The sequence below is a fragment of the Homo sapiens genome, chromosome 7 (genome assembly GCF_000001405.40).
Source record: "Homo sapiens chromosome 7, GRCh38.p14 Primary Assembly".
In the NCBI taxonomy this organism is placed as follows: domain Eukaryota; kingdom Metazoa; phylum Chordata; class Mammalia; order Primates; family Hominidae; genus Homo; species Homo sapiens.
Genome location: NC_000007.14, coordinates 357244 through 384688, shown reverse-complemented (window position 1 = coordinate 384688; position 27445 = coordinate 357244). Strand labels below are relative to the sequence as shown.

Below are 27445 nucleotides of genomic sequence, written 5' to 3'. Positions count from 1 at the left end.
GGGCATATTTGTGTGGGTCTATGTCTGAGTTCCCTGCTGTTCCATTCATCTATGTGTCCAAACCTCTTTTGATACGGACTTGGTGAAGACAGTAATCTTTTATACCCAGCAGAGTAGCTCTTCATGCTTTTTCCAAGATTGTTTAGCTGGAGCCTGTGCCTTTCCATATAAATTTTAGAATAAGCTTGTCTATATTTACAAAGAGACTTGGGGGATTTAGATAGAGATTTCATTAAATCAATAGATCAGTCTCATGGTAGGTGACACTATGTTGAGTCTTCCAATCCATGAACATGGTATATCTTTCTTCATTTGTTTAGGTCTTTTTTGGTCCTTTCATCAGCATTTTGTAATTTTCAGCCTACAAGTACTAGACATATTTTATCAAGTTTATGTCTAAGCATTTCATTATTCTTGGAGTGCTTGTAAATGATAATACATTTTAAAATTTTGTTTCCACATTTTCATTGTTAGTCTATGGAAATGTGATTGATTTTTTGAATGTCGATCTTGTATCCTGTGATTGCACTGAACTCACTAATTAGTTTTTTGTTTTTTGTACATTTGTTGGGATGGTCCATGTGAATAATAATGCCCTTGATAAACAGAGATCATTTTATTTCTTCCTTTCCAATCCGTGTGCCTTTTATTTATTTTTCTTACCTTAGTGCAGTGAATAGAACTTCCAGCGTGTTGAATGAAAGTGGTGGGAATGAATATCCTTGTCTTGCTCCTGATCTCAGGGAAGAGCATTTGGCCTTTTATATTAAGTGAGGTTAGCTGCAGGGATTTTGTAGATGCTTGTTAGCAAGTTATGGAAGTTCCCTGCTACTTCTAATTTGCCAATAATTTTTATTAAGAATGTGTGTTGAATTATGCCAAATACATTTTCTGCATAGATTGATAAGATTATATCATTTTCCTCTTTTTTTAACCTGTTAATCTGATGGATCGCACCATCTGATTTTTCAATGCTCAGCCAATCTCAAATATATTTTCTGCATAGATTGATAAAGTTATATCATTTTCCTCTTCTTTAGCCTGTTAATCTGATGGGTTGCATCATCTGATTTTTCAGTGCTCAGTCAATCTCACGTATTTGGTATGAGTCTCACTTGTTCTTGGTGTATAATTATTTTTATACATTGTTGGATTATATTTGCTTGTATTTAGTGGAGGATTTTTGCCTCTATGTTCAGGAGAGACACTGGTCTGTAGTAGGATTTTAAAACTAGTCTTTAATTTGGTGTCAGGATAGAGCCAGTTTCACAAAATAAGTGGGAAAGTGTTCCTTCCTCTTCTGTGTTCTGGAAGAAATTGTGTAAAATTGGTGTTGCTCCTTTAAATGTTTGGTAAGATTCTCCAGTAAAACCATCTGATCTGAGAGATTTCTTTTTGGGGAACTTTTAAATTATGAATTCAACTGCTGTGATGGTTCTAAGACTATTCAAATGATCTATTTCATCTTGGTTGAGTTTTGATGGCTTATGTTTTTAAAGAATTGGTCCATTTCTTCTAAGTTGTCAAACTCATGAGTGTAAAGTTATTCATAGTATTTTCTTATGATCCTTTTAATGACCACAGGATTTGTAGTGATATCCCCTGTTTTATCTCTGACATTGGTGATTTGCGTCTTCTTTTTATTTTTGTCAGTCTTGCTAGTGGTTTATCAATTTTACAGATTTTCAAAAGAACCAATTTATGTTGATTGATTTTCTCTGTTGTTTTCTTGTTTTCAATTTCATTAATTTCTGTCCTTTATCATTTCCTTCCTTCTTCCCACTTCTCATTTAATCTGTTCTTCTTTCTCTAGTTTCCTGAGGCCAAAACTTAGATGATTGATTTGAGATGCTTTCTCTTTTTCTAATATTAAGTATTTGGTACTATAAATTTCCCTCTAAGCTCTGCTTCATACCACACATTTTGATGTATTTTTATTTTCACTCATTCTGTGAGTTTATGTTTTTCACCACATTTGAGAAGTATTCCATTATTACTTATTCAAATCCTCAGTCAGTCCTGTTCTCTTCCTGAAAATCGGGTGGGTCTTTGGTTATTGTTCTACTGGTTCCTGAAGCTCTGTTCGTTTTTTCTTCCTCTGTTCCCTCCTCCTTCCCTCCCTCCCTCACTTCTCCCTTTTTCCTCTCCTTTCTCCCTCCCTCTCTTCCTCCCTTCCTTCCTCCCTCCTCCCTTCCTCCCTCCCTTTCTCTCTCTATGGTTCTTATTGGGCCCATTCTACTGCTGTGTCCTCAGGTTCACTGGCTGTGTCCTCTGCCATCTTCACTTTACTACTGAGTACATCCGGAGAGTTTTGTTTCTGTGTTTGTAGTTGTTAGCTCTGTGTATTCCCTTTGGTTCTTTCTGATAACTTCTGTGTCTTTGCTGAGGTCTTCTACTTCATTTGTTTCTGGAGAGTGCATTGCTTTGTCATGGTGCCCTGTGGTGACAACCCTGGCCTCCTGGTCGTGTCCTCAGCCTCGAGCTGGTCCTGGCACTGGTGTCATTCATTGTCTTTTCTCATTCACGTGTGTGTCCTCCAGCTTTTGCTGTGATGAGCAGCTTTTGCTTGTATCCTGGGCATTTTGGCCCTGCTTAGAGACTCTGAGTCCTGTGGATGTACTTTATTTTCCTAGGCCACCGCCCTGTAGGTTGGCACCAGGTCCTGGCTGGTGTCATGAACTGTGGTTCCTGACATTTTTACTCTTTGGGATGGGTGGTGCCGTCTGGGTATCCTTGGTTGATCTGGTGCTGGCAGAGTTTCCACTGGTGCTTCCTGAGGGGCCGGGGATTTCCCCGGCCATGTGGCAGCTCTAGGTGGGGAAGGAAGTTTCTACCCGATGGTCGCTTCCTGTGCTGAGCCAGCATGCTGTGGCATTCCCCTACCGATGCCACCCGTACTTCTTGGTGGGGAGGAGGGTCTCAGGCCCACAGGGACCAAGGGGCTTTCTGGGCGTGGTTTGCTGTGCCGAGCCCCCTGCTCAAGGCCCCTGTTGCACCTGGCAGGGGAATGGCTCCCACCCCCCAGCTGCCTTCTCTTGCTAGGCTGGGAGTCAGGAAATGCCCAGCCTGGCTCTCTTCCTTCCTGTCACCCGGCCGTCTCTCCCACCTGGGCCCTGACCACTTGCATGCTTTGGAATTTTCTGTCCACTGCACGTGCAGTTTCCTGGATTTATAGCAGGGCTTAGTGGGAGGCACCCGGAAAAATAAGTCTTGTCTGTGCCAGGCGTCTCCTGATGTCTCTCTTTAAGCAGGACCCTGGGTCGGTCCCTTCTCGGTGCCTCAGTGTCCCCACCTGTGGGCATCCCCCACTCCCCTCTGGATGGTTTGAGTCAGTGCCGTGGACGGCTCATCAGTCTGCACAGCGTGCATGCAGGCTCGCGGGGTCCCTGCCGGGGGCAATGCCATCCCGCATCTCCACACTTCATGCACTAGCTCTGCTGGCCAAAGCCCTGGACCCACCAGGAGGTTCATGAGGGCCAGGAGGGAGGGAAACTGAGGCAGCTTCAAGCTGATGGGAGGCAGGACAAAGGGGAGGCTCACTCTGAGCTGAAGGCAGGGGTCTCCTGCTGCCTCAGGGGATCCAGCACCCACCCCCAGCTCCCCTGAGCTGCGAGCAGGGGAGTGTGATCCCCCCAGGGCACAGCCCGCTGCCCCTTCCTTCTGCGTCCCCTGTCTCAGGGAGTCCTGGCCATCACCTGCCTCCTGAGTGAAGGCTGTTCATGGTGCAGTCTCTACAGATGCCAGATCCACAGGGACGCTGCCTCCCAGAGCTTGCTCAGAGGGGTGAGTGACGCTGCTGCAGGTCAGAGACATCCCATGGGCCACGGTCACCAGCGGGACCTGGGAGATGAGAAGGGGCAGGCAGGTGAATTTCCCTCCCTGGCTCTCCCGGGGAGAGGGCTGGGGTCCCAAGTGGCCATGGGATTGTCCCTTGTGTCTGGTAATTGGCTGTGTCTGGCCCAGGAGCTCACCACCTGCTGTTTGCTCCAGTCCCCTCCCCTCCCTCCCTCTGTCCTCCTGCCCCCTCCCCTCCCTCCCTCTGTCCCCCTGCCCCCTCCCCTCCCTCCCTCTGTCCCCCTGCCCCCTCCCCTCCCTCCCTCTGTCCCCCTGCCCCCTCCCCTGCCTCCCTCTGTCCCCCTGCCCCCTCCCCTCCCTCCCTCTGTCCGAGCTGCACCTGCACGAAGACGTCACTCAGCAGGAGGCTTTGCTGGGGATCAGTTTTCCAGACCAGGCCCCTTGTCTGCCACTCTCCGTTCTGAGCATTGAGGGTCCTGGGAATAGAAGCCACCTCCATCACCTCCCCTTCTGCACAAGAGCCTGTTATAGGCCAATTCGTGTCTCCCCAAATCCATGTGTGGAGTCCGAACCTCTGGGGCCTCCGTGTGTGGCCATATTTGGAAGCCGGGTTGTCGCAGCTGTGATTTGTTTAGATGCGGTCACAGGAGTAGGGCGGACCCAGCGACCTTATACGAAGGGGAAATTTGCGCAGAGCGGGGTGGGCCGTGGGGCATGTGGAATAAACCCTTGAGGAGGGAGGGGCGACCGGAGCCCAGAGTCCTGCTGACCTGGGGGTGGATCATCCGGGGGGGCCACCAGAGCAGCTCCTCGCCTGCCTGGAAGCCACCCCAGAGGCACCTGCCGCGGCCTCCTCTCCCCACACTTCCCTCTCCAATTCCCGGAAGTCCCTGCGGCTCTCACTGTGCTCCGCTCCTTCCTGCTGAGCCACACTTTCCCAGGACGACGCTTACCTCAGCCCAGGGTCCAAGACCGCAGGACACTGGCCCCCGCCCAGGCCACGCCCCCCAGAGAGGGGCTCCCGGCAAGGGCCACCCCCAACCGCTCCCTCCCCTCCCGGGCCCAGGCCAGTCTCGGGACAATGCGCCTTCCTCTTGGGCTGGGCCGGGTCCTTGGCGCGATTCGCCTTTGGAGAAACTGGAACGAAGCCGGGAGGACGCCTCCAAGGTGTCAGACAGCGCCTCCAACGCACGCCCAGCACCCGGCTGGCCCCAGTCTCCGGTCTGCTGATCCAGAGCCGCGTCCTCGCTTTACAGACCGGGAAACTCGAGTGCAGGTGGCCCAGCCCCCAGGGACGAAACGAGCCCTTCCGGGGCGGCCCCTCTCCTGGGAGCCACGCGAGGCCCTCACCCCTCTCCTCCTGGTCTCCAGGCGTCCTGAGCAGGTGCCACAGTTACGGCCACTTCACGGATGAGCGGACGAGGCTCAGAGAAGTGGATGGCGGTGCCAGCATGGGGCAGGAGTCCTGTGGGTGGCCCCTCCCCTCCGGGGCAGCTTCAGAAGAGTCTGTGACAGGAGGTCCCGCCCCGGACTTTGAGCAGGGAGGACGTGGACAGCCGCGGGGCTGTGGAAGCAGGAAGCTCGGGCAGTGCCCGGCTGCTCACAGCCAAGTCCTCCGAGCCCTGTGCCCTCCCCAGACCTGCTGCCCCGCGTCCTGCACCTGAGGAGCCGCACCTGAGCCTCCCTGGTCCCGGGCCGGCCTCGTCCTCCAGGCAGTACAGCTTGGAGTGTCCAGAGGCGGCCTTGGGACAGGGGCCGTGGTCGGCGGGACCCGGGCCCACCCATGCTTTGCTATGAAGGAGATTTCCCTGTCGGGCCACACATGGAGAGGAGTTGCCCCCAGAGACCCCTGCGACCCAGGGAAGGAGCCCGAGGTGGCAGCAGCCCGGGACCTACAGAGGGGCGGTTGGGAGCTTCTCTTGGAGAAGATACACCCCAGGCCTGGGGGTCCTGGCGCCTGCGGGGCTGTTGGGCGGGAGGAAGTGTGAGGATCCTGCTCCGTGGCAAGCACAGAAGCAGCCTGAGAGCGGGGACAGGCCGTGGGCCAGACCATGCGTCCAGGTGGGGGAGGCTCTCACCCGGCGTGGTCCAGCCACAGCTCTGCCGGCCTGGCTGGGTGACCAGGGCCCTTCCCTGCTCTTGGCCTTGGGGTTGTCATCTGCAAGGAGGGCATCCTCGGTTCTCTACGCTAGGACTGGTGTGGGGGTCTGTTGAGACCCCAGGTGTGGAGCAGTCCCACAGTCGTGAAATGGGCGCAGACGGGGCAGCCTCCACACCCTTGGCCCTGGGCCGCCACGCAGTGGGGCTGAGCTTGTCAGCTCCCAGGACGTGTGAGTGACTGCAGGTGGCCGGGTTCAGGAGCTGGCACCGCCGGCGCAGCGTCCTGTGTCTCTAACTCAGTTGTACCCCACGGGCTTCTTCGTGAATGAAAAATAAATTAATGGTGAAGAAAATTGTTGCTATTCATTGTTTTCTGTGTTCCGAGCAGTGAGGATTTCCCGGTTTACTGTTCCCAGTGATTTAGGAGGTGGCTATTATTGTCTTCACATTTCACAGATAAGACAACTGAGGCTCGGCCGGGCATGGTGGCTAGAACCTGTAATCCCGGGACTTTAGGAGACCAAGGCGGGAGGATCGCTTGAGTCCAAGAGCGCAAGACAAGCCGGGGCAGCACAGGGAGATCCGTCTCTACAAAAATAGAAACTTTAGCCAGGCATGGTGGTGCACGCCTGTGGTCCCAGCTACCCAGGAGGCTGAGGCAGGAGGGTCATTTGAGCCCGTGAGTTCCAGGCTGCGGTGAGTGGAGATCACACCACTGCACTGTAGCCTGGGCCACAGAGGGAAACTTGTCTCACAAGAAAGAAGAAGAAAACTGAGGCCCTGGGAAAGTGAGTCCCTGGCCCAAGGCCGCAGGGCTGTGAGTGGGGTTCACAGCCGGGTGTCCCACCGAGAGGGGTGTGAGCTGCTCTAACCTCTGGGATTCTGCCCAGTACCCAATGCCAGGAGCAGGGCCAGGTCCACACCTGGCGGGCAGGAAGGGGCAGGTCTTTCGTGCTGTGGACAGTCACCTTTCCCTGGCCTGGCTGAGCCCACAGAGATTCTCTCCCGCTTCCTGAGGCTCTGGTCAGCCGGCAGGAGGGTCAGGCTGGGATGGGCGGGGTGCGGACGGAAGCCTTACGCCCGTGCTCTCTGCTGAGCCCAGGAGAGGGAGGAGCCCCAGCCGCCCACCCGGCCCTACTCCCCTCGGCTTCTTTTGTGCCTGGCCTCAGACTTGCTGTCCTCACCGTGCTGACAGGGGCACCTGGGGTGTGGCTGGGTCGGAGGTGGCCTTGCCAGGCCTGGGTGGGGCTGTGACAGGGGCGCTAGGTCAACCTCACTTCCAGCCCCCGACTCCCTCTCCGCAGAGGCTGGTTACCTGCTCTGGGGGCCTAAGCTGCCCTGGTCAGCCCATCTGTTTCCTGCTCGCTGGAGAAGGCCGTCCCGCCCTGGCCCCGGTCTCAGAAGCCCTTGGTCTCCCGCCCCTAAGGCCCCCCCGTGCCAAGTCAGGTCCCTGCCCTGAGGGTGGGAGTGGGTGGGGCTGCCTGTTGGGGTCCTGCCATGCCCTCCCCAGCAGAGCCTCCACCTACCCCCTTCCATCCACTGCCCCAGGCGCCCCGGCTGCCTTGTCCTCTGCCACACTCAGGGGGGGCCGGCCTCAAGCCCTGGGTGGTCAGCGCTGATTTATTTTCCTGACATGGGACCGGTGAGAATGACGGCCTCTCCCATGGGCACAGGGGACCACAGGCTTTCCCCGTCCGAGACTCCGGCCTCAAGGTCCTCTGCCTTCCTGGAAACGGGGCTGGGACCATTGTCCTGAGTCACAGAGGAGGAAACTGAGGCCCAGAGAGGCGAATGCTGCGTTGAACATTCAAATGCATTGTAGGACGCCCTGGGTGTGTCCGCCGGGAGCTGCCGCCCCGCCCACCACCCTTGCACCTCGGGGCCTGGGTCTCATGCCTCAGAAACCCCGGCTTCAGGTAGGGTTGACGGATCCAGCAAAGACACCCACCCAAAGACGCCCAGCCCAGAGGCCACCCGAGGACGGGGCTCCCAGCCATGAGCCCACCCCGGTGCCTGCTCTCCTGCTGGGGGGCACACAGCCCATCTCCACCCACCGTCTGGCTGTTCCCTGGGGGCCAGCCTGTGTCTCGTGCCTGCTGGGCTGCAGAAGTAACCCTCTGTCCCCACAGCCTGGGCCAGGCTGGTCACGGAGCAGACATCAGACCTCGGGCCCAAGTCGCCACAGCGCACAGGCCCAGACCTGCCGCGAGGACGGAGCAGGAGACAGCGGAGTGTGGACGTGAAGCCAGGAATATCCCAGAACAGTCAGGAGCGGGGGCAGGAAGGGCCCAGGGTGGGCCGGGGCCTGCGGCTGTGAGTCGGGGGCTGAGGGGAGGCTGCCGGTGGCTGCACGTCCCGACTTGCACGGCAAATGCCTGGCCAGGCAGCCCCTCCAGCCTCAGCAAGCCGCCACCCGCCCACAGCCTTCCTGCCATTCGCAGCCCTCGCTGGGCCCCCTGTTCTGCAGCTCCCCCATCCCCGCCCTCCCCTCCTTCCATTTCCAGCGGGAGAGAAAGCAGAACGTCTTCCTGAGCAGCCACTGGCCAGGTAGCCTGTCTCCGGGGCACCGGCAGCCGGGGCTACTCACTCCCGGGGGTCTTCCCGAGCCACCAAGTCCCCTCAGGAGAGGATGGGCTTGCCAGCTCCTCGGGGGGCCGCCCTCTCCTCCGTCCTCACACCCCCCTTCCTGCCGCGCTGGCCATGCACGTCCACTCCTTCGGGTCTCCTTTGGGTCTCTGTTCCCACACCCTGCCCGGTGCCCTCCCTCCTCCCCTACTCCGAGGCCCTGTGTAAATGCCACTTCCTCTGGGAAGACGTTGGGGCTTGAGTTGGCAGCCAGTGGGAGCCACGGACAGCTCTTGAGAAGGGAAGAGCTATCAGAGGTGCGAGGTGTGAGGTCAGGAAAGGAAGGGTGGTCACCGGAAGCCCCACGCGCTCTTCCCTGACGGACGCGCTCTCTCGGGGCAGCTGCCGGCCGCGTCTTTGCTGGATCCCAGTGCTGGCCCCGCTGTGCCTCCGTCAGCCGGTGGCCTGTTTGCCCATCCTCGGGGATGCCCCTGGCTCCTCTCCTCTCAGGGCCAGGCCCCTCCGAGTGTGAAGATGCAAAGCGGCCCCTCCCCGTGCCCGTTCGGTTCCCCCCACCCCGTGGCTGCGTTTTTTCCCACGGCCCGAGGAAGTGATTTCCGTGGTCCGGGCACCGGGACAGTCAGTGAACTGAAAGTGGCCTCTGTGTCTTAACTCGAGTCACTCCAGTATCTCTCCGGGCGCTGCCGGGTCCCGCTCTGCAGCCGCGTCTTTTCAGGAGCATCTGCCCTGGGGATGGACGCACAGGCCCTGCTGCTTCCAGGGACTTCTGGCACCTTCCTCTGGCTCTAGCATCTGGTCCTCAGTCTCCCCATCTGTGAGACCGGCGAGCTCTGCTCGTCCACCTCCCCAGATGCATGCGGTGCAGGCTGAGGCCCCCGTGGAGCTTTGAAAGTCCAGAGCAGGCTCAGGTCTTACGCTACAAGTTCCAAGCTTCTGGGCCGTGGGCCTCGCGGACCGCAGGGTTGGAATCTCAGCGCCTTTAGCCAAAACGGAGCTTGGATGTGGGTCACTGGGGGTCAGAGAGGTCGAGCGGCCCGCCCAGAACATGAAGCTGTGATGGGCAGCTAGGCTGTGAGAGGCAGGCCTGAGGGCAGAAGGGCCTGTCTCAGGTGAGGCCGGCTCGGTCCCCAAGTGAGGACCTGGCTGTCTCCAGCTGCACAGGAGACGCTGGGGCAGAGGCTGCCTCTGAGCCCGGGATCTCCCAGCTGGTCCGGTGGTGGCGTGGGTGCCGACACGGACCCCGTACCCTTTGTGAGACATCCTACCCCTGTGGGCTCCTGCAAGTTCCACACCTCAGGGCTCACTCAGCGGCCTGGGCTCAGGTCTCCTCCATCAGGGGAGGCTCCTTCACGGGCGGCCGTGGGCCCCACGTGACCCCCAGCACAGAGGGCTGCCCACGAGCCAAGTGGCAGGACCCACGCACGCTTCCCACCCCATTCACCTTCCCATTCCGTGTGCGTTCCAGCTGGAACAAGGCCGTCCTTGTCTCTAGAATTAGCGACTCTGAGTGGAGACGGTGAATCCGGGACCACAGGAGAGATTCACTGCATTTGGGGCAGGGGATGGCGAGTGAGTGAGGGGGCGTGTACAGGGTTCCCTCCGTCGGCCCGCAGGTCCAGCTCTCCATGGAGCGTGCGAGGAAAGAGGTAGCCGCCGCGGTGGGAGTGGGGTGAGGTGCGAGGCCTGGAACCCCGCCATTGCTCTTCTGAGACAGTGTTTGCAAAAAGCACCCCAGGTCCCCGGGTGAGTTTTTGCACTGGGAAGCAGCAGCTGGTTCCACTGGGAGGCAGGCATTCCACGGAGACAGGCCTTTTAAGGGGAAAGAAGAATCTCTGAGGCCTCCCAACTGGAAAGGGGGTCCCCCCCCGCTGGCCCCGCTGTTCCCTGGAAGAGGGAGAGGAACACGGCTGGGGAGGAACACGGCTGGCTCAGCTCATTCATTCACCGACTCCCTCAATTCATGCCCTTGGCACCATCACATAACAGAGGCCAGGTTCTTAAAACTTCAGAGAGTGTCGCTCGGAACTATTTTTCTGAACTCTTTCCTTCCCTCCCTCCCTCCCTCCTTCCTCCCTCCCTTCCTTCCCTCTGTCTCTTTCTCCTTCTTTCTTTTTTCTTCTTTCCTTCCTTCCTCCCTCCCTTCCTTCTTTCCCTCTGTGTCTCTCTCCCTTTCTCTCCTTCCTTCTTTTCTTTTTCTTCTTTTTTCACTCCCTCCCTCCCTCCTTCCCTTTCCCTCCCTCCCTCTCCCTCCTGCCCACCCTCCTTCCCTTCCCTTCTCCTCTCTTCTCTTCTTTCTTTTCTCTCTCTCCCTCCCCCCCCCTTCTTTTCTTCCTTTATGGTTTTTTGGTAAAGTGTGTTCACAAGTCCCAGGCCCTCCTAAGAGATAAAAGGGGGAAGGGTGCACGGAGCAGGTTCCACCGCCCAAGGTCCCCCTGCGGGACTTCTCCGAGTCTGGACTTTGCTTTAAACCCTCCTCCACTTTCCCTCGCTGTCAGCTGCAGGTGCGGCCTCTGCGTCCAGGCTTAGCTCCCTGCACGGTTGTTTCAAAGCCTGATGAAGCTGCATGGTGGGGAACCAGGCTCCAGGCATCCGAGGCCCGGATAGGCGGTCGGCCACATTTACGGTGCCAAACTCAGATCAAAGGCCGATGGAATGGGGCAGCCCGGCCCAGTCTCGGGTGCCCACAACAAAGCCCTGGCCCACTGGTCGCAGAGCACAAAAGGCCTGGGCTATGCAGCCTTACTTGTGTGGGGAAGGCCTCAGATAAAGCGACAGGGCATTCTCGGGGCCGCTGTCCCACCACAGAACCGCTCGTCACACATGAAACAGCAGATTAAGAATTTCCTTTTCTATTTTTGCTGCAAAATTTGCACTGGAAAGGGCTTGGTTTGGAAACACTCTCCCCTTTGAGCTGCTTGGCTGCAGATGAAAGGGGCGTCCAGCCTGCGGTCCGGCCCGGAGGGGGCACTTGCAGCCTCGGCAGCCTCCTCGGTGTGACGGCGATAAGGGATCAGAAACCTATTATCGCTGTGTTTATTGTGCTGGTTAACCATTAAAAACGGCGGTGGAGGTGGGGGCCGGGGTGATTTGTTGACTTGAAGAATGGTTTCTGGCTCTGCGAGCGCTTCTGGAATCCTTGCCCCTAAGCCCCAGCTTGGCGGCTGGGTGAGGAGGAAGCTGGGGCAGGTTTGGCCTCTGTGCCCCGGGGAGAAGAGAGACGCAGATGTCTGTCTGTGGGCTGGTGGTGCCCAGGTGGTGTCCGGCACCTTCTGGGGCTGACCGGCGGTTAAAGACGACGTGTTAGGGCCACACGTGGAGAAGTTTTCCTGCAGAGGAGGGGCCATCTCGGGGAGGGAATAGGGCTTGCTGGAGGCCTCACAGTGGGGAAGAGAAGGGGGTCTCTGCCCAGCCCTGCCCCACTCTCCAAGGGTGGAGCACAGAGTCTGGGTGAGAGGCACTGGCTGCGGTCCTGATGCCCAGGGGGTCGAGGGCTGGTGTGAGTGTGGACAGGGCTGCTTGGACTTGGACTACAAGCTCGGTCGTGGTTGCCCTCGGAGCGTTTCTTTCCTTTTTTGGCGTTGGGGGTGGGGAGTGGGAGAGTGTTAGGGTCTCACTCTGTCGTCCAGGCTGGAGTACAGTGGTGCGATCACAGCTCACTGCAGTCGCAAACTCCTGGGCTCAAGCGATCCTCCTGCCTCAGCCTCCCAAGCAGTTGGAACTACATGTGTACGCCACCGCACCCGGCTAATTTTTAAATTTTTTATAGAGACAGGGGCTCGACATGTTGACCAGGCTGGTCACGAAGTCCTGGGCTCGAGCCATCCTCCCGCCTCGGCCTCCCAAAACGCCGGGATTACAGGTGTGAGCCACTGCACGCGGCCTCCGTTGGGTCATTTCTGAGCCCACTGACCCACAGGCCCGTGAGGATGGCTGTCCTGAGTGCGGCTCACACTTTCTCCAGAGCCCGGCGTTCCGGCCACCCGAGCAGCACGCAGGGGAACGCAGGGAGCAGAGTCGCTTCGCTGGGGTCCCGTCCAGGCCCGATGTCTGCTGCTTGTGGCCGGGCGGGCCCAGCGTACATGGGGTGGATGTGTGGGGTGGACGTGTGGCCGGGCGGGCCCAGCGTCTCTTCTGCACAGGGTGGATTGATCCTGCCTCAAGGGCAGTCCGTGGAGAGGCAGTGAAGGGCCGCCCGTGAGGTGGGAAGGCCTGGTCCATCGTAGCTGCCTGTAGCCTGCATTGGATCCGAGCTCATATGGCAGCAGGAGGCTGTTGCTGAAGGCACCCCCGGCTCCCAAAGCCAGAAGTGGATTCGGCTCAGTTGCTGCTTTTCCCTCTTGCCTGGCTGGCGGGGCTGTTCCTTCATGGTCTCAAAGGCATTTGGGTCCGTGAGGCTTGACCTGGGTCTTCCAGGGAGGAGGAGAGGGAGGATCTCCCCCTACCAGGAAGAGGGAGAGAGGGGTAGCCACTCACCAGGGAGGAGGAGAGTGGGGGTCACCCCCCACCAGGAAGGAGGAGAGTGAGGGTCGCCCCCCACCAGGAAGGAGGAGAGTGAGGGTCGCCCACCACGGCCCCACCTCTGCATCCTCCTGGTAACAGGGCTCAGAATGGAGGCTCTTGGGTACATGCAGAGGGACACCCTCCCCAGACACCAGAGTCGTGATGTACAGCTCCGTGATTTCACACAGTGACTCTGTGAGGTCCATGTGCCCATTTCACAAGGGAGGAAACTGAGGCTCATCTGACTGAGCCACCCAGAGAATAATGGACTTGCGGTTTCGACTGAGCTGTTGGCCTTGGTGCTTTGTCCTCCAGATACCTGGAAGGGAGGGTGTGGCAACTCAGGACACAGAGGACAGGGAGAGCTCAGCACCCTTGACCTTTGCTCCCAAAGGACTGTCACTCTCCAAGGGAGGCTCCCACACCCCTCACAGGCCCTGTGCAGTCACCTGCCCCAGGCAACATCTCGTTTTGTCTTGGGCACCTACTCTGCGCTGGGCCCCTCGGGGGTGTTGGAGGCCTATTGTGCGCTGGGCCCCTCGGGTGTGCTGAGCGCCTACTGTGTGCTGAGCCCCTTGGGTGTATTGGATGCCTACTGTGTGCTGGGCCATTTGGGTGTGTTGAGCGCCTACTGTGTGCTGGGCCCCTTGGGTGTGTTGGATGCCTACTGTGTGCTGGGCCATTTGGGTGTGTTGAGCACCTACTGTGTGCTGGGCCCCTCGGGTGTGTGGGACTCCTACTGTGTGCTGGACCCGTAGGGTGTGTTGGACACCTACTGTGCACTGGGCCCTTTGGGTGTGTTGGACGCCTACTGTGCGCTGGGCCCCTTGGGTGTGTTGGACGCCTACTGTGCGCTGGGCCCCTCGGGTGTGTTGGACGCCTACTGTGCGCTGGGCCATTTGGGTGTGTTGAGCACCTACTGTGTGCTGGACCCCTCGGGTGTGTTGAGTGCCTACTGTGTACTGGGCCCTTTGGGTGTGTTGGATGCCTACTGTGCGCTGGACCCTTCAGGTGTTGGAAGAAGTGTAAGGCTCAGTCGTTGCCCTCCAAGAAATGAATGTTTAGTTGGGGAAACAAAGTCCACAGGAGGCAGATGGAAGCATGGCCCCGACCAGACGCCTTTCATGTCCGAGGTTGGCCTTCATGTGGCCACAGCCCCCCGTGTTCACCCAGGTGCGTCTAATAGGCCGCCTTGGGTTTTATGAGATAACGGTCTGCACCTGATAGCTGTGACTGGGAGGCGGCAACCCGGCCAGCCAGGTCAGTCTGTCTGTAGCGAAAAGCCAAGGAATGAGGTAATACCTGGACGCACGCACTGTGGTCAAAGTCAAATCCCCCAGGGCTTTCTGGAAGAACTGAGAGTGTCTCTGGGCCTTTTCCTGCTTCCTGCACCCAGTAACCTAGAAGATCACTGGCCATCTTTGCCCGCAGCAGCCCCCTTTGCCCTGCAGGACGGAGGCTGTGACATGGCTTCCCGTAGGACGCGCTGCGGCATTCGTGAGTCAGGGCCAGTGCACCGAGCCACGGAGCACCCTCAGCTGCCAGCTCCGCCCTGGGGCTCACCTGGCCCTGCACAGAGTCTGCGAAGTGTCTGCCCTGGGGCTCCAGCCCCCACAGGTACAGCCAGGCCCCTGGTGGTGGGAGTCGGGAGGCCAGGCCTGGGCTGAGTCCGAAGCTGAGGCCTCCTCCCTCTGAGGCCTCCTCCCTCTGCTTGTTACCTGGGCCCGGCTTGGCTGCCTTGCTTTTAAAAACATTTTCTTTGAAACAAAGAGTCTATTTATTACATTTTATTAACGGGGCGTGGGCCCGTGCCGGAGCATCAGGTGGGCTCGGAGTCAGGTGGGCCCGGGCTGGGTCCAGCCCTTGCTTTATAACCCGCGGGACCTGGGGCCGCCCTCGCCTCTCCGAATCCCGGTTCCTTATCTGTTTAATGGGAGCGGAATTCCCACCCGGCCGGGTTGTTGTGGGGCACAGGCGAGATAACGTGCCATAAAGTGCCCGTCAGGGGCTTGGCACGCAGCTGTGGGGCAGCCTGAGAGCGGCCTTGGTGGCACCGCTGGGGTAGGCGGCCCGTCTGCAGCGCGGGGCCGGCCGCGTCGTTCGCCTCTGCAGCCAGCCTGGGGCCCGGGGCCTCGGCACAGTGGACGATCGCCGGGCGTCTGGCCACGGCGGATTGGAGCCTCGGTCAGCCCGCGTCTAAGGGCATGAGTGCCGTGATCCGTTCCCCGGGCCTGGCACGCAGGGTGCGTGGTGGGACCCAGGAATGCGACCCATCTTCCCAGCCCCGAGGGACTGATCTTCCGCCTCCGAGAGGCCACCTGCAGCACGGAGAGGCTGCCCTGGGGGGCTGGGCTGTCAGCACCACCGGGAGGGGCCCCCTGTCCCACAAGACCAGGCATGTGCCGGGTCCCACATCCGGAATTCGGCTGGGGCGGCTTCCTGGCCGCCGAGGCCCGTGTCTGCTCTTGCCCAGGAATGCCCCACGCCCCTCCCGAAGCCGTCTGCTACCCAGGCGTCTGTTCCCCCTTCCGTGACAACAGGTTAAGGAGCCACCGCACACAACGTGTCCCTTCACAGCCTCTGGGAGGACGCAGTCGCGGCCAGACCCAGTGCCTGCAGGAGGAGCGGGTGTTGCCACAGGAATCCGAGAAGAGGGAAGGGATCTCGGCCGGGGGCTCCCTGAGGCGGGGGTGACTCCGGGCTCACGGTGCACGGGGCCTGTGGATACTGAAACAGCACCCAGGTGATTAAAGCCACATCGTGTCCCTGAGCAGCCAGCCAGTGAGATTCAGGAGCAGCTAACCTGGACCACAGCAGGCGTGGGAGGGTGTGTTCCAGCCACAGACGCGGGGCACCCTGTGGGACATTAGGAGACGCTGCTGGTCACCAGACGCCGTGGTCCAGGCGGGGCTCTGTGCTGCGGCCCCGGGAGGGCTTGTCCACCCCCGATGGCTGCTGGCGCTCTAAAGCGTTCTCCTCTCTCCACCCTCCTGGTGAAGTGCAGGGTGCCCGCTGCCGGGGAGACACCAGGCCTCCGTGGCCGGTGCGCAGACCACATCAAGGTCAGGTGGACCCCTGGAGAAGTGGGGTCACTGGGGACAACTGTTCTGAGCACCCACAGAATAGGCTGTTGAGGGCTATGATTCGATAAGCCCTGGTGGGCCCGGCAGCCCCCTCTGTTGCTGCCGACTGTGGGGATCTTTTTTAAAATTTTTGTGAGACAGTCTTACTCTGTTGCCAGGCTGGAGTGCAGTGGTGCGATCTCGGCTCACTGCAACCCTCACCTCCCGGGTTCAAGCGATTCTTCTGCCTCAGCCTCCCAAGTACCTGGGATTACAGGCGCCCGCCACCATGCCCGGCTAATTTTTTGTATTTTTAGTAGAGACGGGGTTTCACCATGTTGCCCAGGCTGGTCTCGATCTCCTGACCTCGTGATCCACCCACCTTGGCCTCCCAAAGTGCTGGGATTACAGGCGTGAGCCGCCGTGCCCGGCCAACTGTGGGGGTCTTTGAGCCACACTCTGAGAACGTGTGCTCTGAGCTGGGGTCCGTGGGGGGACGCTGGGTCGGGGGGATGTTGTGATCTGCTCCACGTGGCAGCTGGAAGACGAGCACACCAGGGGTGTCTGGCCCTGGCTCAGATCTGGGCAACTCCCTCCATGCCTCAGGCAGGCCCATCCCTCTCTGGGCCTCAGTTTCCCCACCTGTTCAGTGAGCTGATGGCCACAGCCCCTTTCTTCATGAGGGCCTGTCTAGTAGCCACCCCAACCAAGAGTTTCTCATGTCTGACAACCCATCTAGTCCATTCCCTCGTTACAGAGCCCAGAGAAGTGTGACCGACTTTAAACTCACCAGATCCTCTTAGCTCAGCTGGCTGACCGGGCTGGGCTCCAGGCAGTCCATGCCTTCCAGAAGGGGCTGGGGCTGGGGGTTCCCTTGGTGAGGGGGCTGGGGTCTTCAGCGTCAGCCACTTTCTCCCATGCCTGGGTGACAGGAGGTGGCCTTAGAGCTGGAGAGGCTTTCTTCACCATCATGGATGGACGACGGCTCACACCACCAGCCTACCGTGGGCACAGCGGCCTGAGGCCTGGAGAGGCCCCCTCCCTCCTCCCCAGGCTGCAGTCTGGATGGGTGGCTTGTTTGCAAACACTCTGCTGCCCTCCTGGTGTGGGTGCTGCAGCCCCCCTGCAGAAGTGCCCTCTGGCCTCCTCCTTTTGGAGCAGCCTCTGCGCCTTCTACTCCAGCCCCCAAGGCCCCAGGCAGGTGTGTGTGTGACACAATCTTGTATGTGGCTTTATAAGACTCACTTCCAGGTCTCTTCTCTGGAGAAGGTGATGTTCTCAAAACATGACCCCCAGACCAGCCGTGTCGGTGTCACCCAGGAACCACTGGAAATGCAAATTCGGGGGCCTTCTCAAGCCCTGCCGGTGACTCTGAAGGTGCTCACATTGGAGAACCTGGCTGGGTGAGGTCCAGGAATTTTTTTAAATGTCAGGGTGATCTGTGTGTCTTCTTTTGAGAAATGTCTATTTAAATCCTTTGCCTGCTTTTCAGTCAAGTTACTTGTGTGTGTGTGTGTGTGTGTGTGTGTGTGTTTTCCTGTTGAATTGCTTGAGTTCTTTGTAGATTCTGGATATGTGTCCCTTGTCAGATGAATAGTTTGCAAATATTTTCTCCCCTTCTGTGGCTGCCTCTTCCCTCTGCCGACTGTTTCCTTGGCCTTTTGCAGAAGCATCTTAGTTTGATGTAGCCCCGTTTGTCTATTTTTGTTTTTATTGCTGGTGATTTTGAAGTCTTGGCCATAAAATCTTTCCCCAGAACAATGTTCTGCAGTGTCTTCCTTATGTTTTTCTTCTCATAGTTTTATTGTTTTGGGTTTTACATTTCAGTCTGCAACCTATTTTGAGTGGGTTTTTGTATATGCTGAGAGACAGTATATGAAAAAATGCTCAGCATGACTAATCATTGGGGAAATGCAAATCCAAACCACAGTGAGATACTATTTTGTCCCAGTTAGAATTGCTATTACCAAAAAGACAAACAAAAAACAAAAAACAAAACAAAACAAAAAACCATGCTGGTGAGGATGTGGAGAAAGGGGAGCTGTCACACACAGATGGGGGGATGTAAACTAGTAACAGCCGCGGTGAAAAACAGTATGGAGCTTCCTCAAAAAGCTAAACACAGAATGACCGCGTGATCCAGCAGTCCCGGGACCGGGTGTTTGTCCGAGAGAAAGGAAATCGGCACAGAAATGAGTGATCTGCTCCCTCTGTTCATTGCAGCGCGAGTCCCAGCAACCAGGATGTGGAATAAACGCATGTCCATCAGCAGAGGAAGGGGTTAGGGGAATGTGATCTATGCACACAGTACAGCTACGATTCAGCCATACGAGAGAGTGAAATCCTGTCATTCCAGGCAACACGGAGGAGCCCCGAGGACATTCTGCCACATACAATAAATCAGGCACAGGAAGAGAAATACCGCAGGTCCTCACTCATGTGTGGGAGCTAAAAGCGTTGAGCTCCTAGAGAGGAGCGCTGTGCTATGAGAGGCTGGGAGGGGGATGGTGGGGGAGACCTTGGCTAATGAATGCAAAATTACAGTGAGACCAGAGGAATGGATTTGAGGGTTCTGTGGGACTGGAGGGTGACTCCAGTTAACGATAATTTATTGTGTATTTTTGAAGCTAGAAGGGAGGACTTTGAATGTTCACAACGGGAAGAAAGGATGATGTCAGTGGGGCTGGATTCGCCCATCTCCCTGATTTGATCACTACGCTTTGCATCCACGAGTCCCAACATCGGTCTCGATGCCACACACACGCGCAGTTGTTTCATTGTCATCCCAAAAACCCACACGCTGACGTGGTCCCCAGCCGCTCCCCGGCCGGCGGAGGGCCTGCATGAGGACGGCACCGCCTTGCACACTTTATCTCAGGGGATCCTGAAACAACCAGCAGTGTCGGGGAATTCGTGCCCATTTTTCAGATGAGAGAACTGAGGCTCATAGAGAGTGAGACTCACAAGCCCTGGCACCAACAAGCGTCAGAGCTGGCCTCGAAGCCGTCGAGGTGCGGAAGAGTAAGGATTACACAGAAGTGAATGGGAGCCTCACTTCGGCACCTGTGGATTTTTTTTCTGAACTTAGTATGTTCCGATAAACATCTATCTAAGTGGAAATTCAAAGCTTTTGTGTATCAAGGTAAAAGGCAAGTTAAATGGGTGCCACATTTGCAACAACCATGGCAAGGAATTAGCATTTTAATGACATGCAGACATATGCAAATTGATGATGATAAACAACAACGCTGGCCAGGCGCAGGTGGCTCACGCCTGTGATCCCAGCACTGTGGGAGGCCGAGGCGGGCAGATCACCTGAGGTCAGGAGTTCGAGACCAGCCTGGCCAATGTGGAGAAACCCCGTCCCTACTAAAAAAATGCAAAATTAGCCGGGCGTGGTGGCGGGTGCCTGTAGTCCCAGCTACTCAGGAGGCTGAGGCAGGAGAATTGCTTGAACCCAGGAGGTGGGGGTTGCAGTGAGCCGAGATCACACCACTGCCCTCCAGCCTGGGCAACAGAGCGAGACTCTGTCTCAAAAAAACAAAACAAAAACAACAACAAAAAGCAACAACACTGAGATCCCAGTAAGTAAAGAAGCGAAGGACAAGCAGAGACCCTCTGCAGAAACAGAAAGTGCAGGGAGTGGGCGATAAAGCCAGTAGCCCAGCTGATGTACAGCTCAGGAGGCATCGCCTCAAGGATCCGTGTGGTTCTCTAAGGACTGCTGGGGTCAGAGGGGCTGAGTCGTGGTTCTGTAAGGACTGCTGGGGTCAGAGGGGCTGAGTCCTGGTTCTCTAAGGACTGCTGGGGTCAGAGGGGCTGAGTCGGCAGGAGGAGGCCCAGACGTTTCTCTTCTTGGCCCGGGGTGAGTGGCTTGCCTGGAAGCCTCGGTGGCCTCATCTGTGAAATGGGTGTATGATCCTTTCGGACCTCCGAAGAGGTGGAGGGAGGTCATACGTGTCCAGCTTTGAGTGTGGTGATTGACTTGGAACAGCTCACCAGAAAGACCCTGAGTGAAGGATGCACGTGACCTGACTTTGGTGGTGTCACAGCCCTGTGCGAATCAGAAAATTACCTGTGACATGTCGAGGCCTAAGAGGATCTGAAGCTGTTGTGGGCGCTGGCCTTGCACCCCACACACAGGCTTGTCAAGGAACAGAATCCAGAGAGAACAGCCAACATCCAGCAGTGGTGACAGTGGGGAGGGGGCATCTCTGCAACGTAGTTGTATCGTGTCTGTTCTTTTTATTGCCGTATAACACACAGGGTATGATGTGACGTGTGCTAATATTAAGTGCTTGGATCAATGATTTTTTTTGTTTTTTTTGATACGGAGTCTCGCTCTGTCGCTCAGGGTGGAGTGTCGTGGTGTGATCTTGGCTCACTGCAAGCTCCGCCTCCCGGGTTCAAGCAATTCTCTTCCTCAGCCTCCCCAGTAGCTGGGATTACAGGCACCTGCCACCACGCCCGGCTACTTTTTGTATTTTTAGTAGAGACGGGGTTTCACCATCTTGGTCAGGCTGGTCTTGAACTCCTGACCTCGTGATCTACCTGCCTCGGCCTCCCAAAGTGCTGGGATTACAGGCGTGAGCCACCGCGCCCAGCCCAGATCAGAGAATTTTTTTTACAAGACACAGAACCTTCTCAGGATGCCACAGGCTGCCTCCTGCACTTCCTGTCAGCGCGGCTTTTGCGTAGCTGTGGGCCTGACTCTCAGGGCCCCCCGCGTCCCAGGCTTGCCGGCTGCTCAACTGAAATCTCCTATGTGCACTCTTTTGCTTCCGGCTTCTTTCCCTCCATGTCATGCCACGAGGCCCATCCGGGCGTGTTCTGTCCCCTGACCTGCTCCCCTGCAGATCCGCGTTTGCATGGTCTCCAGCTTCTTGCGGTCACCAGTATTGCAGACGTGGGTGCTCGTGCGTGTCCTGGGCAGGTGCATGAACTCAGCCTCTGGTGTGTCCCAGGGGCCTGCTGGGCAGTCGCACGTGGCTTCGGAGCCTGAGTGGATGTTACAGAACCGTTACTCGAAGAGCATGCATCAGCTGCTCCCTTGCCAGCAATGCATGAGAGTCTTCCCACTAAGGAAAGGGGGCAGCCTGGCTGAGTGCAGTGGCTCATGCCTATGATCCCAGCACTTCGGGAAGCCAAAGCAGGAGGATCATTTGAGGCCAGGAGATCGAGCCCAGCCTGTGCCACATAGTGAGACCCTGTCTCTACAAAATGCAAAATGTAGCTGGGTGCAGTGGCATGCATCTGTAATCCCAGCTACTCAGGACGCCAAAACAGGGGCATCTCTTGAGCCCAGGAGTTTCAGACCAGTGTCGGCAACATAGTGAGACCATGTCTCTACAGAACATTTTAAAAATTAGTTGGATGTGGTGGTGCATGCCTGTAGTCCTAGCTACTCGGGAGGCTGAAGTGGGACGATCACCTGAGCCTGGAAGGTCAGAGCTTGCAGTGCGCTGTGATTGCACCACTGCACTCCAGCCTGGGTGACAGAGCCAGACCCTGTCTCAAAACAAAACAAATTCCAGGTTCAAATGCCCTCGCTGGTGATGTTTATCAATATATTCAAGAAACAAATAACACTATCTTTAACCCGTCAAGAGAACAGCAGTGAAGCAAGCATTCTCCATCCCATCTCAGGGGGCGAGAGGCCCTTGACACAGAAGGGAGATAACAGCTCCTAAAACATGGCAGTGAGGCTCAACGGCTGAGCGCGTGGACGGGATCGCACCTCGTGGCTGCCGTGTCTATCCCAGGACTAGAAGTGGTTCAGTGTCACAATGGCAATGAATAGAATCCTCCACACCAACAGGTTTAAGGGAAAAATCTTACAGTCATTTCAACAAATGAGAAAAGAATGTTTGATAAAAGTCAACGTCCTTTCAGGAAAAAGATACTTCAAGTAGGAACAGCAGCGCCTCCCTAACCTGATAAATGTGCAAACACCCACAGCAGAAGCACCCCCGGAAGCTTTTGCTTTGATATCGGGACCAAGGGGCGGTGCGTTCCAGCACCATTTCACCAGCGTCCTTCCGCAGGTCCGGGCCAAGGCAGGAAAAGGAAATGAAAGCTAACGAGATCGGAAAGGAAGAAATACAACTTCTGACAGTCACGGAGGATACGGTTATGTGTGTTCGAAGAGCTGAACAGCACCAGGGTAAATTATGAAATCAGTAAGACAGCTGGGCAGTTTGCTGGAGACAAAATCAATATACACAAAAATCAGCTGTTTTTCTTCATATGCCAGAGACAAAGTGAAATTTAGAAAAGATGTCATTTACAAAAGCCTGAGCCTATTAAATACTAGGAAGAACAAACAATGTGTAAGATTTTTATAGAGGAAGCTGATGTAAAAAAACATGGCTGAGAGACATTTGAGAAGACTCAAGTGAATGGTTCCTTAAATAACTGTATTCATGAACCGAGAAGTCCCAAGTTACAAAGATGTCAACTCTCCCCAAAGGAATTCAGGCATCTCACGTACTCCATAGCCAGACTTCTGCAATTGTTTGTGGTGGTTCATGGAAAACTGACTCTACAATTTATGTTGAAAGTCAAAGAACTGGGAATAGCTAAATCACTCTCGAAGGGCAGAGATCAGGGCAGGAACTGGGGATGTCTGTATTGAGGCTTATTAAAAAGTCATAACATTTGTGACAAGGTGATGCTGAGGTGGGGACAGAACAGTAGTCCACACAGCATGGAGTCGGGACAGGGAGGCAGCGGCGTGAGTGGGAGGGAGTCAGGACAGGGAGGCTGAGGCGTGAGTGGGAGGGAGTCAGGACAGGGAGGCTGAGGCGTGAGTGGGAGGGAGTCCGGACAGGGAGGCGGAGGCGTGAGTGGGAGGGAGTCGGGACAGGGAGGCTGAGGCGTGAGTGGGAGGGAGTCGGGACAGGGAGGCAGCGGCGTGAGTGGGAGGGAGTCGGGACAGGGAGGCTGAGGCGTGAGTGGGAGGGAGTCGGGACAGGGAGGCAGCGGCGTGAGTGGGAGGGAGTCGGGACAGGGAGGCTGAGGCGTGAGTGGGAGGGAGTCGGGACAGGGAGGCAGCGGCGTGAGTGGGAGGGAGTCGGGACAGGGAGGCAGCGGCGTGAGTGGGAGGGAGTCGGGACAGGGAGGCTGAGGCGTGAGTGGGAGGGAGTCGGGACAGGGAGGCAGCGGCGTGAGTGGGAGGGAGTCGGGACAGGGAGGCTGAGGCGTGAGTGGGAGGGAGTCAGGACAGGGAGGCTGAGGCGTGAGTGGGAGGGAGTCGGGACAGGGAGGCTGAGGCGTGAGTGGGAGGGAGTCGGGACAGGGAGGCAGCGGCGTGAGTGGGAGCGTGGCTTTGGGACAACCGGACGCCCACATACAGAAAGCAGAGAGTGCTGTCCCTCTCCACACCACTAAAGGCAGACCTGCATGGATTAAATTCCTAAATGTAAATAAACCCCGTCATGGTTTTAGAAGAGGATTTAAAGGGCTGTTTTCATGACTTTGAATTAGGGATGGATTTGTGAAACAATCTACAAAATTATTCGTCATAAAGGCAAAGATTGGTAAATTCTAAAACATTAAAATAAAGACATTCTGTTACATTAAAATCTACCATAAAAGGAGTGAAAAGACAAGCCCGAAGCAGGACATGTGCCATATATATATTTGACCAAAAAAGGGAGGCCCAGAAGATTTAAAAACGTCAACAGGCGTCGACAAGCAAAGCCCCCGACGGCGGAAGATGGGCACACGGAGTCACTGAACAGCTTCCCAGGCGTGACCAACGCTCGGCTCCTTCGCAATCAGGAAAACGCAAATTGAGATCACCACGAAGGACCCTTACGCACCAGCAGATCCGCAAAACTTAAAAAGCCTGGCCCTACCCAGGGCTGGCGAGGACGGAGCAAGGGGACCCTTGGCCAGACAGTGCCCGGTGGCACCAACACCCGGAGCTGCTGGGCTGCCCGCGTGGGGCCGGCACGACTCTCCACCTATCTCTAAAGACGTGCATGGCAGACTCAAGGAGTTTGTGGGATGTTCACGGCAGCGTTGCTCAGAAAGCAAGACGCTGGAAACCGCCGGAAGCCAGTCACAGCAGAGGGATGGCTCAGCCCTTTCACACCGGGGAGCACCGCGGGGCGACGTGCTGGCGCTGGCGGGAAGGAGGCTTGCGTTGTGCACTGGGGAATGGGGCACAGGCCATCGCTGGGGGTTCAGTTTTGTGTTTTGGGAGTTAAGAAACAAAGCTAAATAGTCTATGGCAAAACTGCATGGGAAAAGGCAAGGCAGCGGCCGCCACACACCAGAGCAGTGGCTTCTGAGAGAGGAGGGTCGGGTGTGAGAGGGGAGGGCTCACTCGGCGTCCTCCTGGAGTGCTTACGGGGCCCCCGCACCGCCGTTGTGCAGAGCCGACACCGACGTCTGTGTTCACTCTGCTGGGAACACGATCACTCTTAGAAACGGAACTTTCAACAGAAAGGAATTGATTCTACTTGGAGCTGGATTGGGCTGCTTGTGGCCCCCACCCGCCCCTGGGGCTCTGCCCTGCCCTGGCTGGGCTGGTACACCTGCTTCCGCCCAGATGTGGCCCCAGCGTGCGTCCTGGGGATGCCCCTCCTGCAGCTCAAACACCCCACATCCCTCCCTTCCTCCCGTGTGGTTTTTCCATTGACTTTGGTGGCTGCCACAGACGAGCCAGCCCTCAAATCCCTTTCGCCGGTGGTCAGGGTAGGAGTAAACACACAGCCCTGAGCCACTTCTGGGTGCCCAGCTGGGCTCTGCGGTGAAGCAACCCTCCCCAGGAAGCGGCTTCGGCCCCACTCACTGGGCGCCTTCCCCAGACCACCTGGGAGGAGGGCCCCCACCTGCAGGCAGCCACGGCCCTGGTGCAGGAGGTGCCAGGAAAACAGGCCAGGCCATCCTGGTTTCCGGCCAAGCCCCGGGATGGCCTGGCTGTCCAGGGGTCCTGGGCTCCACCCGCCACCTTGTACCTGTGCAGACGCCCTCTGGTCCGGCCAGGACCAGGCGAGTGTGTGCACGGCCAGATGGTGGCGGCCTGGGGACCAGGGCAGCCGGGTCTGCTGTGTGTAGACACAAACCGCATCTCATCCTAAGAGCAAAGGAGTGATTGTTTAGCTTTCAGAGAAAAAATAGCTCTGAGACGTCTGTGAGAAAACACCCTTTGGGAGGAACCTGGGTCGGGGGCAGAGGCTGGGCTCGGAGGAGGGACTCGGGCCGCCACACCACTGCCTGCCTGCTGGGTGGCCCCGGGCAGATTCCACAGCCTTTCTGGGCCGTTGTCTGTACAGGTTGAGGGTCGTGCTCCATCCCTCAGCCCCTTCTAGGCCTGCCAGCCTCTGATATGAGCAGGAGAAACAGGATCTTCTCTGTCTCTCTCCTCCCTACAGGCTGGCAACACAATGGGATAAATGGCCAAGGATGCGGGATTGGCAAAGCAGGAACCCACATCCCCAGGCAGGGACACCCGCAGCCTCCCTAGAACGTGGCTCGAGGACAATGCCCAGGGTCCTCCCTGCAAAAGACTTTTCCAGACACCCGGTTTTTAATGGAGGGGTGGTCAAGGAAACCCCTCGAAGAGCTCCTCTGGAGCAGAAACCTGCAGGGGTCTGGGCTGGAGGCCTGACCTATTTCCCCAGGCACAGCTTGGGGTGCGTGGGCCTGTGGGGGCATGTGTGGAGGGGGCTCCCGAAGGGCAGGGGACAGAGAGAAGGGAACCCCTCTTCTCTTGGGGCCTCTCTTTGACACTGGGGTCCACCTTGAACCTTAAGGCCTCATACTTTACCACAGTGACCCCTGAAAAAGCTCCATAATGCAAACTCCAGAACTGTTGAAAAGTGTGTTATCTGTTGCTGTGTCACAGATCACCCCAAAACTTAATGGCTTCAAAGGATAATAATAATTTATCATCTCTCATGGCTTCTATGGGTCATGAACTTGAGAGTGGCTCAGCCTTAGGGTCTCATGAGTCTGCTGTCAGCTGAAAGTCTGCTGGGCTGGAGGAGCCCCTTCCAAGGTGGCTCCTGCATGTGGCTGGAAGGGTGGCTCCTCCCCATGGGGGGGGGGGGGTCTCCTCAGAGCTGCTTGAGCCTCCTTACAACATGGCTGCCAGCCTCTACAGAATGAGCAATCCAAGAGACTAAGCTGCAGTGACTTTGTTTTTGAGACAGGGTCTTGCTCTGTTGCCCAGGCTGGAGTGCAGTGGTGTGATCACAGCTCACTGCAGGCTCAAACTCTGGGTTCTAACCATCCTCCCACCTCCTGAGTGGCTGGGACTACAGGCGTCCAGCACCACATCCAGCTAATTTTTAAAATTTGTTGTAGAGATAGGGTCTCACTGTGTTGCCCAAGCTGTTATTGAATGCCTGGCCTCAAGCAAGCCTCCTGCCTCAGCCTCCGAAAGTGCTGGAATTGCAGGCTTGAGCCACCGTGCCTGGCCTTGCAATGGCTGTCATGAGCTGCCATGGGGTCAGCTAAGTGTGTGAACACCAGGAGGCCATGATTGTTGAGGCCCACTGTGGAGTCGGACTATCACAAAAATTGACAAAGATTCTTACAGAGCAGGAGAACAGGAGTTACAAGGTACATCATGCCAAAACTATCTTTGTGAAGTTGATAGATTGATGGCTTTTTTGTTGTTGTTTCAGTCACCGTTCCAGAGTCTCACAGGAAGGCCTTTGTTCTCAAGGCCTGCCTTATTCCCAGAAGCGGGTAAGCAGGCGTGAAGAGAAGCTAAGCATTGCTCTCCTCTTGGAAGGGGCAGGAGTGGAGACCATTGTGCCTCTATGGAGTCGGGGCTGTAGATGCTTGCTAATGTGGGAATGTGAGGAGAGCCGCTTCACGGCCCTGTCTCCAAGCAGGGTCCCAGGGTGGGTGGGCAGGAAAGGGGCTGGAGATGGTGCAGACACCAAGGCCTGGGCGGCGAGCACAGCCAGCTCACTTGGCTGAGTGATTGGGCTGCGGAGGGGACATCTCACAGCTCCCAGGGCTCCTGGGGTCAGGGCAGTGGGGTTGCCTCCTGCAGAGCCCCAGGGCCCCACCCGCAGGGCAGGACGGGGCTGAGAGCTTCTAACTTGAACTTATCATCCCTGGGGGAGAGCCAATGGTGGGAAGCAGATCTAGTTTGATTTGGGAAAATTCCCTTCCCTGGAGTGCCAGGGAGCAGTTCGTGCACGTTAGACACCATTTGCTTCCCACAGTCACAGGTCCTGGGGCAGCGTGCTCTCCCTTCTCCTTTCCTCTCTCCCTCAAAAAGCGCAGCAAGAAAAACACTCCCTCCCTGTCAGACTGCCAGGCCCTGTGCACCTCCCCTCCCGGATCCCTCACAGGTCCTCAGCCCCGTGCCTCTCAGGAGGCAAGCACAGGGCCCACTGCATCCCCACCCGCTCACAGGTCCTCAGCCCCGTGCC

At 56.9% G+C, this 27445-nt stretch overlaps 1 long non-coding RNA gene across 1 annotated transcript, besides 4 other annotated features; it reads right to left on the bottom strand.

Moving 5' to 3' along the window:
• Positions 1-1809: 1809 nt before the first annotated feature.
• Positions 1810-5264, bottom strand: LOC442497 (uncharacterized). The gene is made up of 3 exons (NR_033960.1): positions 5146-5264; positions 4175-4271; positions 1810-3840 (listed from the first exon to the last, which is right to left on the bottom strand). It is a non-coding gene; the product is annotated as an uncharacterized LOC442497 (long non-coding RNA).
• Positions 12515-12715: a silencer, noted in NCBI's record as "peak6332 fragment used in MPRA reporter construct". NCBI's record gives its function as "represses an SCP1 promoter by STARR-seq MPRAs in K562 erythroleukemia cells {active_cell/tissue: K562}" and the evidence as "EXISTENCE:reporter gene assay evidence [ECO:0000049][PMID:32103011]".
• Positions 15135-15659: an enhancer, noted in NCBI's record as "H3K27ac-H3K4me1 hESC enhancer chr7:408996-409520 (GRCh37/hg19 assembly coordinates)". NCBI's record gives its function as "activates a minimal SCP1, AML or CMV promoter by ChIP-STARR-seq in primed H9 embryonic stem cells {active_cell/tissue: H9 hESC(primed)}" and the evidence as "EXISTENCE:reporter gene assay evidence [ECO:0000049][PMID:30033119]".
• Positions 18744-18959: a silencer, noted in NCBI's record as "fragment chr7:405696-405911 (GRCh37/hg19 assembly coordinates)". NCBI's record gives its function as "represses an EF-1alpha promoter that drives an FKBP-Casp9 reporter gene in an ReSE screen in HepG2 liver carcinoma cells {active_cell/tissue: HepG2}" and the evidence as "EXISTENCE:reporter gene assay evidence [ECO:0000049][PMID:32094911]".
• Positions 19395-19895: an enhancer, noted in NCBI's record as "H3K4me1 hESC enhancer chr7:404760-405260 (GRCh37/hg19 assembly coordinates)". NCBI's record gives its function as "activates a minimal SCP1, AML or CMV promoter by ChIP-STARR-seq in primed H9 embryonic stem cells {active_cell/tissue: H9 hESC(primed)}" and the evidence as "EXISTENCE:reporter gene assay evidence [ECO:0000049][PMID:30033119]".